General features: G+C 49.1%; 1 protein-coding gene and 1 long non-coding RNA gene across 6 annotated transcripts in view, besides 4 other annotated features; one reads left to right on the top strand and one right to left on the bottom strand.

The window, feature by feature from the left end:
- CAPN2 (calpain 2) overlaps window positions 1-15,622 on the bottom strand; it is a 74,422-nt gene that overhangs the window by 34,686 nt on the left and 24,114 nt on the right. The gene's annotated exons all lie outside the window — the stretch shown is intronic.
- LOC105373046 (uncharacterized) lies at window positions 21-2,871 on the top strand. 3 transcript variants are annotated; one of them, XR_949169.3, is made up of 3 exons: window positions 21-1,444; window positions 2,218-2,347; window positions 2,549-2,871. It is a non-coding gene; the product is annotated as an uncharacterized LOC105373046 (long non-coding RNA). The 3 variants fall into 3 exon arrangements; XR_949168.3 differs by having other exon boundaries at window positions 891-984; window positions 1,317-1,444; window positions 2,218-2,871; XR_007066896.1 differs by having other exon boundaries at window positions 2,218-2,871.
- Window positions 2,489-3,004: an enhancer, noted in NCBI's record as "H3K27ac-H3K4me1 hESC enhancer chr1:223926031-223926546 (GRCh37/hg19 assembly coordinates)". NCBI's record gives its function as "activates a minimal SCP1, AML or CMV promoter by ChIP-STARR-seq in primed H9 embryonic stem cells {active_cell/tissue: H9 hESC(primed)}" and the evidence as "EXISTENCE:reporter gene assay evidence [ECO:0000049][PMID:30033119]".
- Window positions 6,574-7,434: an enhancer, noted in NCBI's record as "H3K4me1 hESC enhancer chr1:223921601-223922461 (GRCh37/hg19 assembly coordinates)". NCBI's record gives its function as "activates a minimal SCP1, AML or CMV promoter by ChIP-STARR-seq in naive H9 embryonic stem cells {active_cell/tissue: H9 hESC(naive)}" and the evidence as "EXISTENCE:reporter gene assay evidence [ECO:0000049][PMID:30033119]".
- Window positions 9,209-9,804: an enhancer, noted in NCBI's record as "H3K4me1 hESC enhancer chr1:223919231-223919826 (GRCh37/hg19 assembly coordinates)". NCBI's record gives its function as "activates a minimal SCP1, AML or CMV promoter by ChIP-STARR-seq in naive H9 embryonic stem cells {active_cell/tissue: H9 hESC(naive)}" and the evidence as "EXISTENCE:reporter gene assay evidence [ECO:0000049][PMID:30033119]".
- Window positions 13,182-13,842: an enhancer, noted in NCBI's record as "H3K27ac-H3K4me1 hESC enhancer chr1:223915193-223915853 (GRCh37/hg19 assembly coordinates)". NCBI's record gives its function as "activates a minimal SCP1, AML or CMV promoter by ChIP-STARR-seq in naive H9 embryonic stem cells {active_cell/tissue: H9 hESC(naive)}" and the evidence as "EXISTENCE:reporter gene assay evidence [ECO:0000049][PMID:30033119]".

Raw genomic sequence — 15,622 nt, 5'->3', positions numbered from 1 at the left:
GATTTCTAAAAAGGTGGGAAGCATTTGAAATCCTACTTTTTTTGCTTCTGGTTCCTTCACTCTTTCCCTCACCCCAATCAGCAAAATATTTTGAACCAAGCTGGGAAGCTCCCTTACCCAACTGACTTCTTTCCTTTATTTTAATATCTGCTCGTGTAAGCGTTCTCAGTGACAAGATCTACACAATGATTACACAAAGGCTTAGGTGTGCCAGGCCCCGAGCTAAAAGCCTTATGCACATTATCATGTTATCTCATTTCCTTGTCACAGAACAGTTCCAAGGTAGGTACTATTTTCATTCTATTTCATAGTTGAGGAAACTGAGGTTTAAGGAGGTGGACTGGATCACCCAACGCTCCTAGCTAATTAGTGGCTGTCAGGTCTATCTGCAAAGCACAGGCTTTTGATGTATAACCAAAACAGTCTCCTCTGCAAAGAGGCTGGTGTCAATTTCGAATTCACCTAATTGAATTCGAAATTGGACAGGTCTTGGGGACTTTTGTCCTTAAGAGGTGTAAAGGTTTCTCTTCAAAGACCTTCCTCCCCATTTAATTAGGAATAAATAGTAACTTCTCTTAGAAGCAAAATTTATTCAAAGACCTGTGCTAACATTCTTAAATATCTGCTAGCCATGATAAAGAAATCAATGTACTTTATGTTCTTAGCTCCCACAATTTAGCCTAAGTATTTTCCCTGGCATGCTTATACTGGTCCAAGCAAGCATTAGGTCATAGCCTGTTCCTCTTCCTTATCTAAAGGTGTTTTTACCTTTCTCAGCATTCCACAAGTTACTTCCTCCTTCCTTTGTTCTCCTCTGCCTTTGCCTCTTTTAAAAAGTTCTAAGTTGTTAGCCAATCGGGACAAATACAGAATGGGAGGTCCTGTTCCAGCCAATGGAAACTGGACACAGCAGTAGGGTGGACGCGTCAGGTTATAAATGACCCTGTCTCCTTTGTTTGGTGTACTCTCGTGGCAAAACTCCTGGTGAGTGTACCCTTTCACAGAAAGTATAAAAATGTCCTTGCTGAGTAAATTAAATTTATGTTCAAGTGCTATTTCTTTACGGCACCAGGGAACAAGCATTTCAAACAGAGGTGACTCAATGGTGTTTCAGCGTCCAGGTGGCACGGTGTTCTCTCACTCCACCTCGACGGCCCATGTCCACAAGAGGGTTCCTCCCAACAAGAAGCCTGTTCTACAACCTCAGCAGTTGTAGACTTAGTCCCATCTTTCCCAGCTGAGGGTCCAGAACCTTGGCTGTCCCCATCAAGGTCAGAATCTACCTTACGTAAAATAATTTATGAAAACTCTTTCAGATCATCCTGCAGTGATTTCTTCCTGGTCAGGTGCCCTGGTTGAAGTCCATGACGTCTCTTCCTGGCAAAGCCTGTTTAGAGCTGTTATATCCTGGTCCGGATAAAATAAGCCAGCTAGCTCGAGAAGGGTGAGACGAAGAGTTTAACTCAGATGCTACAAATAACTTTTGGCTTAAACTGTTTTTAGCTCCAGGAAAGCCCCTGAGGGTGCCTTCCAGTGACGGAGGCCTCTCCTGGAATGTTGCCATATGGATGGGACTAGAAAAAGAAAGACCTATGGTTTTAATATTATGTATCTGCAAATAGTATTTTCCTTGTGCTCATTTTATTTTTGGAGGAGGGCTCTGCTCTCCAGTCACACAAAAATTTTGGCAGAGGGGAGGGTGGGATGGCTACTCAGACCTTGGTGTACCTCAGAGGACTGTCTGAACAGTGCACTTGGCACAAGCAAAACTCCTGCCTTCCTCTCCGGGGGGAATGTTCAGTTGTTACAAGCTCTTAGCCTTCCTGCTCAGGTACAAAATCTGCTTATGGGCCAGGCATGGTGACTCACACCTGTAATCCCATCACTTTGGGAGGCCGAGGTGGGCAGATCACATGAGGTCAGGAGTTCAAGACTAGCCTGGCCAACATGGTGAAACTCCATCTTTACTAAAAATACAAAAATTAGCCAGGCATGTTGGCACGCGCCTGTAGTCCCAGCTACTGGAGAGGCTGAGGCATGAGAATCACTTGAACCTGGGAGGTGGAGGTTGCAGTGAGCCCAGATTGCACCACTGCATTCCAGCCTGGGGCACAGAGTGAGACTCTGTCTAAAAAAAAAAAAAAAAAAAATCTGTTTATGCTTGGTTACCTGTTGATAACCTTTTGATCCTTAATTATTCCATTTATCTGAGAGCAGAAACTATTGTCTTGGGAACTTGAGTGCCTGGATCGTGGTGAGCTGGAGCTGAGTGCCCGATACATTCCAGCTGCCTCTTCATGTCCAGTCTACACCCTCCATCCTGCTGCCTGGGAGCTGATCTCTATGGGTATCTCACCGGGGGCCCAGGGCCTATGGCTGCTGGGGGCCAGAAGAAGGGAGGAGTGCAGTTAGGGTGTTTCTTCCCTGGCTCCTTCTCTGAGAGCGTGGCTCGGCTCCATGTGGCTGTGTCCCGTGACTGCGGGGCAGGTTGCACCTGCACATGAACCACTTTCACTGCTAGAATCTGACAATTGTCCCCAACTCACAGCTCCAGACCCTCTTCTGGGAAGGACTCAGCCACGCTTCCTCCTCGGATCACAGAAGACTCCAGATGCAAGCTGTCTGTTTGCAACAGTGTGCAGGGCTTCTCTGACTGGGAGGCTGCTCCTGTCAGCTGTTCACCTTCTTCACTGACTCCAGAGTGTGCACGTGAGCCTGCCTGGAGGCGCTTGGACAATCATTTACCCCATTTAAAAAAAACTGGCCTGCGTTCTTGACTGCAAAAACTCATTATCATAAAAATGCCATGTCCTCTTAAGTTAGCCTATAAACTTAATGTAATGCTAATAAAAATAGCAATAGGGCTAGGTACGGTGGCTCATGCCTGTAATTCTAGCTCTTGGGAGGCCAGGGCTGGAGGATTTCTTGAGCCCTCAGGATTTCAAGACCACCCTGAAATCTCACTATACTGTGAGACCCTGTCTCTATAAAAATTATTTTTAAAAAATTAGCCAGGTGTGGTGTCATGCTTCTATCGTCCCAGCAACTTGGGAGGCTGAGGCAGGAGAATCACTTTGAACCTGGGAGGTCAAGGCTGCAGTGAGCTATGATTGTACCACTGTACTCCAGCCTGGGTGACAGAACAAGACCCCGTCTCACAAAAAAGAAAAAAAAAGGTAATAAGATTAAAAATTGTTTTTGAACTTAGCTGATTCTGATAAGTTTATTTAAAAATTAAATATGAAGCATAGCTAGAAAAAAATCTAAGAGAAGGAAGTCTACCTCTATTAGATGTTTAAACACATAAAAAGCTACAGCAATTAAAACAGTATAGAACTTGTGCATGAGGATATAGATAAATAAATGGCACAGAAAAAATCTAGAATCAGACCTTCCCTGTGCTCCCCTGGGGGCACAGTGAGATTCTTTTATGGCTGTTGGGTGTCAACACTAAGTATAGGGCCCATCTGTAGCCCCTAAGGTGCTTTTGAAAGCATGCATGCCTTTTTTTTTCCCCTCTCCCGGTTTTGACACATTCCCTTCTTTCTGGGTTGTTTTTCTTTTAGAACTGACTGTTTTTCTTTACAGTACATGGTGTTATTGTATTCTCTCCCCCCCACCCCCCGCCCCGTCTCTTTTGGTCAGGCCTTAAATTCTCTGTGGAATGAGGTAAGGCATATGTAAATACTAAGCAATTCTGCCTAAGTCACTGTAAAGCTCCCACTCCCATCTCTCATCTGCCTTTCTCATCCCAGGAGCCTGACACCTGCCTCAGTCTGTCCAGCACCCTGGACATGAGCAAGGACAAGTGTCAGAGCTGGGTCCCCAGGGGACTCTGCTCATCCATGGGACAGACGGTGTCTCTGCAGAGAAGGAAGGTGGCTACCGATGACATCTCCCGCTAGCAGGGCCCTGGCTGTTGCTGGCCATGTTTATTACTAACGGCAGCAGATGAGGCCCTGCCTGGAGGTTCCTAAGCTGCCCCGTGAAGGTCCTGACCACGGGCTTGACAGACCGGCCATCCCTATATCCAGGCTGCCTCCATACCCAGCCATGCTTCTGTCCTGGAAGACACTCAACTGGCACAGACCTGAGAGGCTGGGGATGGAAAATGGAGGGGTTTTCTGCCTTGCTTCCTCTCCAGAAAAAGCCCACCTGGGTGCCCCACGAGCCTTATGCTTAGTCAAGCAGGGGCTGCCTACAGGATGGGATTTTAGGGGCCTCCTGTCCCTTCCTCCACAAATCTCCCCTACATCTGGTCTTAATTTCTTTATTCTTATTTTTATTTTTTTTTGAGACAGGTTCTCACTCTGTCACCCAGGCTAGAGTGCAGTGGTGCAATCACAGCTCACTGCAGCCTTGACCTCCCGGGCTCAAGTGATCCTCCCACCTCACCTTGTAGCTGGGATTACAAGCACATACCACCATGCCCAGCTAATTAAAAAACTTTTTTTGTAGAGGTGTCTTGCTATGTTGCCCAGGCTAGTCTCAAACTCCTGGTCTCAAGTGATCCTCCTGACTCAGCCTCCCGAAGTATTGGGATTACAGGCGTGAGCCACCGTGACCAGCCTAGACTTAATTTCTACAAGTGGCTCTCACTCTACATTTAGAGATCAGATGGGCTGCAAATACCCAGGGGGAAGGGAACCCTTGGATTTAAATGCTCTCGTGTGAAAAGGACTGAAAGCAGGCTTACTGGGGAAGATGGGAGAGGTAGGGTTCTGGGAGTCTGGACCCAGCACTGTTGAAAGGAAATCACCCAGGGCAGATGGTCCAGGGTTTCAAGGCCAAACTTGCCCCTGTATCTTTTGGTTAGGTTGGAACTGAGATTTTCCACCTTCCCAAATGGGGACCTCCAGGATCCCTGTGAAAGGCAAGTGTCACTGGAGGCTGGTGGTTGCCTGCTCCCTCAAAGCACTGACCTTACCGCTTGATTCTGTCACCTTCCCACACATCTTTTTGTCTCTGGGCACCAGGAGGCACCTGCCCGATGCCATCCTCCTGGGGTTCCTTGGCTTCTAGGCGCTTGACTGCCCTCTCACTCCCCTTTGGCTGGCTTTGCTCCTCCAGCCCAGCCCCTGAGGATCTCTCTTCCTGCCTCCCTTCCTGCCCAGGGCTGTGTGCTGCCCTTTCTACGTTGTCCAGGACCCCTCCAGCAAACAATCCCAGAGGCGGGGTCCCTGCTGGCCTAGTGGACAGAACCGGGGCACTCTGGGCAGGGGTGCTGGTCACTTGGGTGGTGAAAGGTCCCGAGTAGGCTGGGTGCGGTGGCTCACCCTGTAATCTCAGCACTTTGGGAGACCAAGGTGGGCAGATCACGAGATCAGGAGTTCAAGACCAGCCTGGCCAACATAGTGAAACCCCGTCACTACTAAAGATACAAAAATTAGCTGAGCATGGTGGCATGCGCCTGTAGTCCCAGCTACTAGGGAGGCTGAGGCAGGAGAATCACTTGAATCCAGGAGGTGGGGGTTGTAGTGAGCTGAGATTACGTCACTTCACTCCAGCCTGGGCAACAGATCGAGACTCCGTCTCAAAAAAAAAAAGAAAAGAAACGTCCCAAGTAGGTGGCAGGCTGGCAGGGGCGGGGGTACCTTTGCTGGCTGTCCCCCTCGCTGCTGGGCACAGGCCAAATGGCTCCACGGAGCACCCCACAGCCACGTTGAGCCTTCAGGTGGTTCTCAAACCAGAAAGGAGTATGGTGGAAAGACATCCCAGATAGATCTAAGAGGCTGGACCAGAGGTGGTTGGGGAGGGGCACTAGATTTGTGGTTAGAAGACCACAAATTTTTTTTTTTTTTTTTTTAGATAGAGTCTCACTCTGTTGCCCAGGCTGGAGTGCAATGGCTCCATCTTAGCTCACTGCAACCTCTGCTTCCTGGGTTCAAGCAATTCTCCTGCCTCAGCCTCCTGAGTAGCTGGGATTACAGGCGCCCACCACCATGCCCAGCTAATTTTTGTATTTTTAGTAGAGATGGGGTTTCACCATGTTGGCCAAGCTGGTCTTGAACTCCTGACCTCAGGTGATCCACCCGCCTTGGCCACCCAAAGAGCTGGGATTACATGCATGAGCCACTGCGCCCAGCCAGAGGACCTGGATTTTGGTCCTGATCTGGCCACTTAAGATTGTGTGAGCTTGGATACACTTCTTAATTTCTCTAAGCTGGTGTGTTCTCAGCTGTGAAAGGAGGATCATGATGAGGTGTATCCTCGGCAGGTTGTTAGGATCACGTGAGAGAAGGGAAACCGGGGTTCCATGGATGGGCTTTAGAGACCTGGAACCCCAAATGTTTTGTGCAAATTTGGCACACATGCAAACACATGCTGTTTTCTAGGGAGAGCAGTCTGGTTTCTCTCCCACTCCCACCCCGAATGGTTGGGAAACACTAGAGCCAGACCATGGAGTTCAAATCCTGACTGTGACCTGGGGAAACTACTCCCTCTGTGCCTCAGTTTCCTCATATATAACATAGGTTTAATAATAATAGACTGTCTCATGGCACTGAGAATTAAATGAAAAAAATATGCAAAGCATTGAGAACAGTGTCTCCAAGTGTTTGCTCTTTTCATTTGCTAATTTTATAGGCGTGGAAACTGAAACTCAAGGGAAGTGGAGTTTCGATTGGTACATGGTGTGCCAGACCTTGGCCACATTTGGCAGTCTTGTCCTCGAAAGGGTGCCAGGGTTGCCAAGGGTGCCGGCTGGTGAGGGGCAAGGAGAGAGGGTTGTGGCCGGGGGTCAGTGAGGAGGGAGGGGAGCTGCGGGGGAGAGTGAAGCAGTGCATAAGGTGTCTGTCTCACCGTCTTGAGCCTTCCGAAACTCTTCTTTGGAAGCAAGGGGTGTCCGAATAAGGAAGAAATAAAGGTAAATAGTGAGCACTGGGCGAGGTGTCCTGGTGTGTGCCTGTGGTCCCAGCTACCTGGGAGGCTGAGGTGGGAGGATGGGTTGAGCCCAGGAGGTGGAGTTTGCAGTGAGCTGTGACAGCAACACTGCACTCCAGCATAGGTGACAAGGCAAGACCCAACTCTTTTTAAAAAAAGAAAGTACATTTTTTAAAAGAGGGGGAGCACTGAGAAGGGTGTAGATACAAAAGCATTTGCTGGTGACACGAGGGTGGCCACTACAAAGAAGAGTGGCCACCCAGGCCTGACCGGGTCTCCAGCCGGGACTGTGGAGCCTCCCCTGCACTTCCCTGTAGCGCTGGATCCCGGGGCTGAGAACAGCAGCTCCTGGGAGAGGCTGGCCTTGAGGTCCCTTCCCTGCTTTTCTCCTCACATAACAGAAGGAAAGACGGCCCCTTAACAGCCTCCCTCCTCCTGAGTCTGCAGTTGGGACCGAGTCTGCAGTTGGGACCCAGTCTGCAGTTGGGACCGTTTCTCTCCCTGCACCCCTGGGCTGTCAGTTCTCTCAGGGAACGTTTACCACGTTTGTGCCTATGGCAGATGAGCATTCCTGTATTCATTTGCTCATTTGTTCAAAGACTTTTTAGTGTCATTCTCTCTGGCCCATTCTGGGACACCCACTGGGCTCAGTTAAGCCACTTTTGCCTATGGGTCTCTGGGAAATCCTCTCTGAATTCAAGCTTCCTCCACACCTTCTAATTTGTTTGGGAAAGGAGGTTTGATTTGTGTTTTTGAATCGTTAAGCACAGCAGCCTTCCCCTTCCAAGACTCACGTGACCTGGATAAGGGCTTCACTGCCCCCAGCAGGGCTGCCTTTCTTGGGGACCCACGGAGAGCACACCAGGTAGCCAGCCCTTCCTTCCACTCCAACCCACCCAGACCCTCCTCTGAGGACAAGGCACTCCCAGACAGACCTTATGAATGACTCCTTTAAACTCCAGGGCCTTCTACTGAAAAGATAAATTCATTCAGGGCCATGTCAGTAAATTTCCAGAGCTGTGCTCCCCAGCCTGGGTGTCTGCATCCTGAAGGTTGGCTGTGTGACAGGCCCAGCCCATCCTGGGGGGTGGGATGCAGCTGGATTACTAATATTTGCAGCTCCTGGAGGTTTTCCAAGAGGAAAGCATAATATTTGCTCTGCATTTTCTCCTTCTTTCCCTTCCGCTACTGCTGTCTTTCCTTCACAAACAGAAGTGAGGCAGAGTTGGGGAGCCAGGGGAGGGGGAGTGCAGGAGAGGCTGGGCTGAGGCACACCTGAGCTACCTGTGGCTCTGTCACACTATAGTGCAGAGGCTGCTGACAGTCCTGCAGGACAGGAGGTGTGTGGGCAGGTTGGTGCTGGCTGTCACAGTTACACCCAGTGCCTGCACTGGGAAGAATTGCGCTTGGTGAAGTAAAACACGCTGGATACCAGAGCAACCCCCAGGAAATAACTGGGTTTTCTTATTGTTTTCTTTAGTCCCTTTATTTGTAGGCACAGCTGCTTAAAGAAACAAGCTGGCCCCTGATGGTGCCAGAGCTTCTTGACCTCTGCCCAGATACCAGAGGGAGATAAGACCCCCAAAACTGGCAGAAACTGGAACAGGCAACCCCTTGTTACCTTCAGAACTTTACCATGTCATTATAATGCTAACGTCCCCACCTGTAGAAGAAAATCACCATTATTTCTGAACATGTGTCAGAGGCGTGTGAACTAGAGCAACTCCATCTTGAATAAGAGCTGAGTAAAATGAGGCTGAGACCTACTGGGCTGCATTCCCAGACAGTTAAGGCATTCTAAGTCACAGGATGAGATAGGAAGTCGGCACAAGATACAGGTCATAAAGACCTTGCTGATAAAACAGTTGCAGTAAAGAAGCCGGCCAAAACCTACCAAAACCAAGATGGTGACAAGAGTGACCTCTGCTCGTCCTCACTGCTACACTCCCACCAGAGCCATGACAGTTTACAGATGCCATGGCAACATCAGGAAGTTACCCTACGTGATCTAAAAAGAGGAGGCATGAATAATCCACCCCTTGTTTAGCATATAATCAAGAAGTTTAGCATATAATCAAGAAATAACCATAAAAATGGGCAATCATCAGCCCTCAGGGCTGCTCTATGAAGTAGATTTTCTTTTATTCCTTTATTTTCATAATAAATTTGCTTTCACTTTACTGTATGGACTCACCCTGAATTCTTTCTTGAGCGGGATCCAAGAACCCTTTCTTAGTTCTAGATCAGGACCCCTTTCTGGTAACACATCTTGCATTGTATGGAGAGGCATGTTTATGACCTGGGCCTGAGCGTCTAGAGGTCTCCACCCCCACACCGTGACCCCACACCTGCTTACACACCTCCCTGCCCCACACCTATCTCCTTACAACTCCCCAGTTTCCATGGCTCGGGGTGAAGGTGTCTTTAGAGCAAGAGCCCCCTCCTTCTCTTTCTCCTGGTCAGGAATAAAACCCTCTTGCCTTTTTTTCCAACTGAGTGTTCTTTCTTTGCAACTGATACCAAGTAGGGAAAGAACTCAGCTTACCGGTGACACACTCACACACACGTTTCACACACTGGCCAAGGGAGCTCATCTTGGAGGAAGAGCAGGCAGAACACAGAGCTGCTACGGGGCAGCCCAGACTCCCAGATGCCTTCCGCTGCCTCCACATCCCTCACTCCATGCTTCTCGCCTGGGGCCCAGCTTGCCGTGCCTCTGCACACCTCTGTCCTCGCGTAAGTCAACTCTGGAGGACATGTCTCTTTCCCCTCCAATCTAGTCTCAGGCTCCTTGTTGGTGCATTCCTGGCTCCGTGCCAGGCCTGTACTCAGTCTAGAGGAGACTGGCGCTGGTTCTGAGGCAGTGAGCTCACAGCCGGCAGGAGACAGACGTGGAAACTGGTTGTGGATGATGGTGGTGAGCATGAGGCTTTGAGTCTGAACAGGGCAGACTGGGACTGTAGGAGGGCTGGGGTGGGCGAGGAAGGCTTAGAGCGGGGAGCTGGGTGAGGAAGAGCAGGGGCACTTTCAGGGAGAGGGAAGGTCAAGTGCAGAGTCCAGAACAGGCAGGCAGCAGGACGGGCATTGTGGGGCTGGGCATTGGGAACTGGAGAGGGCTGGGGCTAGGCGGATTGGGTTGGATGTCCGGGCCAGCTTAGGAATCTGAACTGGCTCCTAAGGGAATTTAAGCCAAACTTCCTTCTCTTCCTTTCCCCTTCTGCACCAGACCCTCCAAGCATAATAAAATATTTGCCTTTTTCAGAATGAATCACTCCCTGCTTCCTCTTTGTGGGAAACCTTCCTTCCAACTCTCCCTCCTTAATCATCCTTTGGGGTATCTCTCTTAACCCCTTACTGTTCCCCTCCCAGATCCTCACACTGACTCCCAGCTGACTCCCAACATGATCTGAACTTGGAATTAATCCATCCATTTAATAATTTGCCTCCACTACTTCCATAGCTCCCTGAGGACAGGTTTTCTGGCAGCAATGCCCAAAGTGGATTAGATACAAGTATACATGCTCCTTAACTTACAACGGGGTTACATCTGAACAAATCCATCAGAAGTTGAAAATATTGCAAGTCGAAAATGCATTTAATACACCTCAGCCTACTGTAAACTAAAAATCAAAGTCTAAGCCCCTTAACTAACTGAATGGGTGCCCCCTTAGTCAAGGGGATTCCAAGGTAAACCTGAAAAACAAGTTCAGGCCACGATGGGAAGGGAGGTCCGTCATGCCTCATTTTATCCTCCTCCTTTAGGAATTCAGGCACAGCTGACCAGCCTTAACTGAAAACAGAGATCTTAAGACTCACAAAACAGACTCTTCCTAGCAATAAGATACCAAATTCCAACCACACTCTAGTAGAGCATCACATGACAGATAGCAGGCCCTGAAAGAAATCAAAGTATTTTAGCCCAAAATATATTTTTCTGACAGATTTTGAAATGTCTCTGAAAGCTGTCTCTTGTGGGAAAATCTACATTCTATAGCAGGGGTGTCCAATCTTTTGGCTTCCCTGGGCCACACTGGAAGAAGAAGAATTGTCTTGGGCCACACATAAAATACACTGACACTAATGATAGATGATGAGCTAAAAAAAAAAAAAATCTCATAATATTTTGAGAAAGTTCACAAATTTGTGTTGGGCCACATTCAAAGCCATCCTGGGCAGCACGAGGGTTGGACAAGCTTGATGTAGAGAATCACCTTCCCTTCAGGTCTTTTTCTGATCCTGAAGAGATTAGCTGAGCATCTAGTAGCACCTTTTAAAGGTCTGAATAGAAAACATTTGCCATCTATTGCCTTTGAGAGTGGCCCTCTGTGAGACTTCATCTACATAATAAAAACCTTGGTCTCTAACAACTTCTTATCTCAACCCAGGCACACTTTTCAACTGATTTCAGGTTTTCGTTTTTTTTTTTTTTTTTTTTTTTTTGGTTTTTTGGGAGCGAGTCTTGCTCTTGTCTCCTAGGCTGGAGTGCAGTGGTGCAATCCTGGCTCACTGCAACCTTCACTTTCTGGGTTCAAGCGATTCTCCTGCCTCAGCCTCTGAGTAGCTGGGACTACAGGCATACACCGCCATGCCCAGTTAATTTTTGCATTTTTAGTAGAGGCGAGGTTTCACCATGTTGGCCAGGCCAGGCTCGAACTCCTGACCTCAGGTGATCCACCCGCCTTGGCCTCCCAAAGTGCTGGAATTACAGGTGTGAGCCACCGCACCCGGCCTTGATTCCAGGTCTTTAGATAGTAACTTAATGCTTTCAATTAACTGCCAATCAGAAAAATCTCTGAATCCACCTGTGACTCGGAGCCCCCTCCAGCCCCTGTGCCTTCCCCATCCACTTCAAGTTGTCCCGCCTTTCTGGATTGATGTCTGCCTGTAACTTATGTCCTCCTAAAATGTATAAAACCAAGCTGTAAACCAACCACCTTGGGCACAGGTTCTCAGGACCTCCTTGGGCTTTGTCACAGGCTTTGGTCACTCATATTTGGCTCAGAATAAACTCTTTAAATATTTCACAGAATTTGACTATTTTGTTGACACTGCCTAACACCATAGCTTAGCCTAGCCTACCTTAATTGTGCTCAGAACACTTACAGTAGCCTACAGTTGGGCAAAATTATCTAAGGAGGCAAAGCCTGTTTTAAAATAAAATGCTGAACAACTCAATGTAATTTATTGAATACTGTACTGAAAGTGAAAAACAGAATGGTTGTATGGGTACTTCAAGTACAGTTTCTACTAAATGTGTATTGCTTTCATGCCATTGTAAAGCTGAAAAATTGCATGTCAAGCCATTACAATTCTGGGGCCACCTGTAGGCATCCTGAGCCAGACTCCAGGTGAGAACTGAGGCCCGCCTTGGAGTAATGGGGGAATAGAAGAAAATGGCGGCTTGGTGATGAGTTAAGGACCGAGAATGGAGGGACTGGTTGGACACAGAAAGGGAAGAACCTTGTATAGAGAAGGGATTGTGTTTTGCTTTTGTCTTTTTTGCTGAAGTCTCAGCCCACTGCTCTTCCTATAACAGATGCCCAGTAAAGCTGGCTGAATGGAAGCAGAAAGGCAGTTGCTGGCTTGTGCAAGTCAGGGCTCCTGAGCCCCATGGGCATCTCAGAACGCTTGGGGGTGAGTGGAGTCCTGAAGCTGGCACATCAGCCCAGCTTGTGAAGTCCTTCACTACTGTGTACCTTGGGAAGTCCCAGAAAACACATCCTCCCCACCCCGCAAACCATGAAGAGCTAATGTCCAAGCAGCTTGGGTTATTACTGGTAAAGGACAAGAAGGCCATTATTCAAAGGGGAGGAATCGTGGTGTCTTCCAAAAATGGTGGCAACAATGTTTCTGGTTTCACATGTTCTTCCAGAACCCTGCCACTCTCCATCTAGAAGTGGGCTCCATGTCCCTTCTCTTTGATCCTGGGTGAGCCTTCATTGATCTCAATGAATAGGATATGGCAGAAGTGATGCTATGTGACTTCCAAGCCTAGGTCGTAAAGATGAGACAGCTCCCAGGTCTTTCTCTTGGGACATGAGCTGCTGTAAGATGTTCAGCTACCTTCAAGTCCCTGTGATGGGGAGACCACAAAAGAGACAGAGATCCCTGGACCCCTGCTGATCCACCCTTCAGCCCGGGCACCAGACATGTGGTTGAGGGGGCCTACAGATGACTCTGTCCCCATCCCCATCTGATTGCAACCACTTGAGAGAGCGGGAGAGAGTTGCCCAGCTCAGCCCCGTCATCCTTCAGAACCATGAGAGAGAACAAAATGCCTTGTGTTTCAAGCCATTTGTTTTGGGGTGGATTGTTACACACTAGATACAGGTGTGACAAAACAGGGAGCTTGTGCTTGGGAGTCTGAACTGTAACGCATACCAGGGAGCCAGGGATAGTAAGATACACCTGCTAACAGAGTCTCCCACCTGGGGGTGCCAGCAAGAGAATGGAGCCAACACTGAGAAATGCCAGTGTCAGGCCACCCAGCTGCTCTGCAGTTCCCAAGGTACCCTGGACCTGAGATGTTCCCACTGTCTCCCTGCTGATGTGTGGTTTGGAAAGGCACCTGAGCTAGGAAGCTGAGCAGACGGAATGGCCTGCCAGTGGAACCATTCTCCAAGAAGCAGGGAGGGCCCTTCTCCTCCTTTGCTGTGTTCCTCCCAATGCTAGTGGGAAGCTTGAAGCTCCCCTCCCACAGGCTCAAATATCCCAGCAATGCTGCCCTGACCCCGTACATGCAATGTTTTCTCCTTTCCTACAGTATTTACTCATACTTGCGGCTGGATTAGATTGAAGCAATGCTGGAAAGAATATTTAGTTTGTCTTCAGCAACTCACCTACTGATTACCACTGCTATTCCTACCTCCCATCCGGCCACTCCCTTGCACCAGGCTCCCCAAATGGCATTCTGTGTGCCCAGTGACCCCCACAGTACCTCCCCCTTCACTCCTGCTCTGCCAGTGGTTCTCAACTGGGGGCATTCCATGCACCCCCCAACTCCGCCAAGCCCCCAGGGGACATTTGGCAAGGTCTGCAGACATTTTTGAGTGGCACACGGGGGTGTGTGGGTAGAGGCCAAGGATGCAGCTAAACATCCTATAATTCACAGGACAGCCCCCTACAATGAACAATTATCCAGTCAGTTGTGCCAAGGTTGAGAAACCCTGATGGATCTCAAATCGTACCTGTTTTGCGTTATATTTCTTTAGACCTTTTGTTCTTTTGTTTTGCATGCTGACAGCTAGATACACGATAAACAGACCAAGCTACTGAAGACTGCTCCTGGCTAAATTTCACCCTTCCTGAGACAACAGCATTTTAACAATCTCCAGCAGACCTGACACCCTGTCCCAGAGAGACACATCTCTCAAGGTCCTAGGCAGCCCAAGAAGGCGGAGAGCCACATTTTCAGGCAGCTGTGGGTCTTCGCTTTGGAAGGGAGGAGAAGGAACCTCTGAAAAGCCAATTCAGGGCCATCCCTCTGAAACTGGCAGGGAGGGGCTTCTCTAGAGGAAATGCACACCCCGCCAGCGTGCTAGGCCTGCGAGAGGGTAGCTGATGAGTCACCCTGGGCCATCCCTTTGTTACTCATTTCAGAGTCTGGCAGCAGCCCAGAAAAGGATACCCCCAAAGTGGAATTCCCCATGCATGTACAATCATCCTTCATTTGTATCAGGGGCTGGGAGGGGAGGGGGCAGATCCTCCATTTTACTCATGCCCCACCCTTATTAACAAGAAGTCTTCAGCCTCCTTCCCTAAACTGCACACACATCAGAACTGTGAGCCACAGCCAGTGATCCAAACCACGTGTCCCAGGCCTTTCCTTTCCCTTCTCCCTGCCCTATCTGCCAGAAGGGAGGCCCTAAAAGGGAGGATGGGAGGGAGGCGAGGGTGCTGGGGCTTGACATTCACTCTTCCTCTCTCTAGTCCCTTGCCTGTCTCAGCCGTGCCCTGGACCAGAAGGACATAACCTGTTGCATGTTTTGTCGTTTTTGTGTCCCTGTTCCCTGCAGCCCTGACCCTCCTGGGCCATCGCCCCCACGGTCACTAGTCAATATCAGAGTTTTTATCTCCAGTACCCCAGCAGAGGTGGCTGCTCCTTCCTGATGGCTGCCCTCCCCCCAGGCGCAGGCAAACCCACCCTCTTCCTCCCCATCCCTGCTCTCATCACAGACCCCACAGAAGAAGGGAGGAGGAGGTGGAACCTTGCCCTCGGCTGCCAATTCCTGTCTTAAATTCCTGCTCTTCAGGAACTCTCCTTTCTTAGCTCCTGGAGGAAGCCCAAAGACAGTATCTATTTTCCTGACTTCCTGAGGGGATTCACAAAGCTGAACTACTAGTCTTGCTTGGGCTGGGGTAGCAAAATACAGGAGAAACATCATCCTGAGAATGGGCCCAACAAGAATGAACGTGGGAAACTTTCTCACTCGGATCCTGGTCTCCCGAGAGACGGAGGAAACCCACGAGGCCCTGGGTTCCAGTGGCACCTTTCTGTCACATAGTCTTAAAGTTCCCTGCATTGTAGGAAAAGAAAAAGAAAGGACGCAAACATCGTCATTGTTCCCATTTCGCAGATGGGTGAGTGGAAACTTATGGCTAGAGATCACAAGGTACTGGAAGCACGTGTATGTGCTGGGATAGGAGAGAGTCCACGTTCCTTGGCACTGAAGGGCCTCTGGCCCTTTGTGGGAAACATCAGGAGGCCATGACCATTGTGTGACCAAAGAAAATTACAGCA

The sequence above is a fragment of the Homo sapiens genome, chromosome 1 (genome assembly GCF_000001405.40).
Source record: "Homo sapiens chromosome 1, GRCh38.p14 Primary Assembly".
Taxonomy (NCBI): Eukaryota; Metazoa; Chordata; class Mammalia; order Primates; family Hominidae; genus Homo; species Homo sapiens.
The sequence above is the reverse complement of the archived record's forward strand: the minus strand, read 5'-3'. Positions and strand labels throughout refer to the sequence as shown.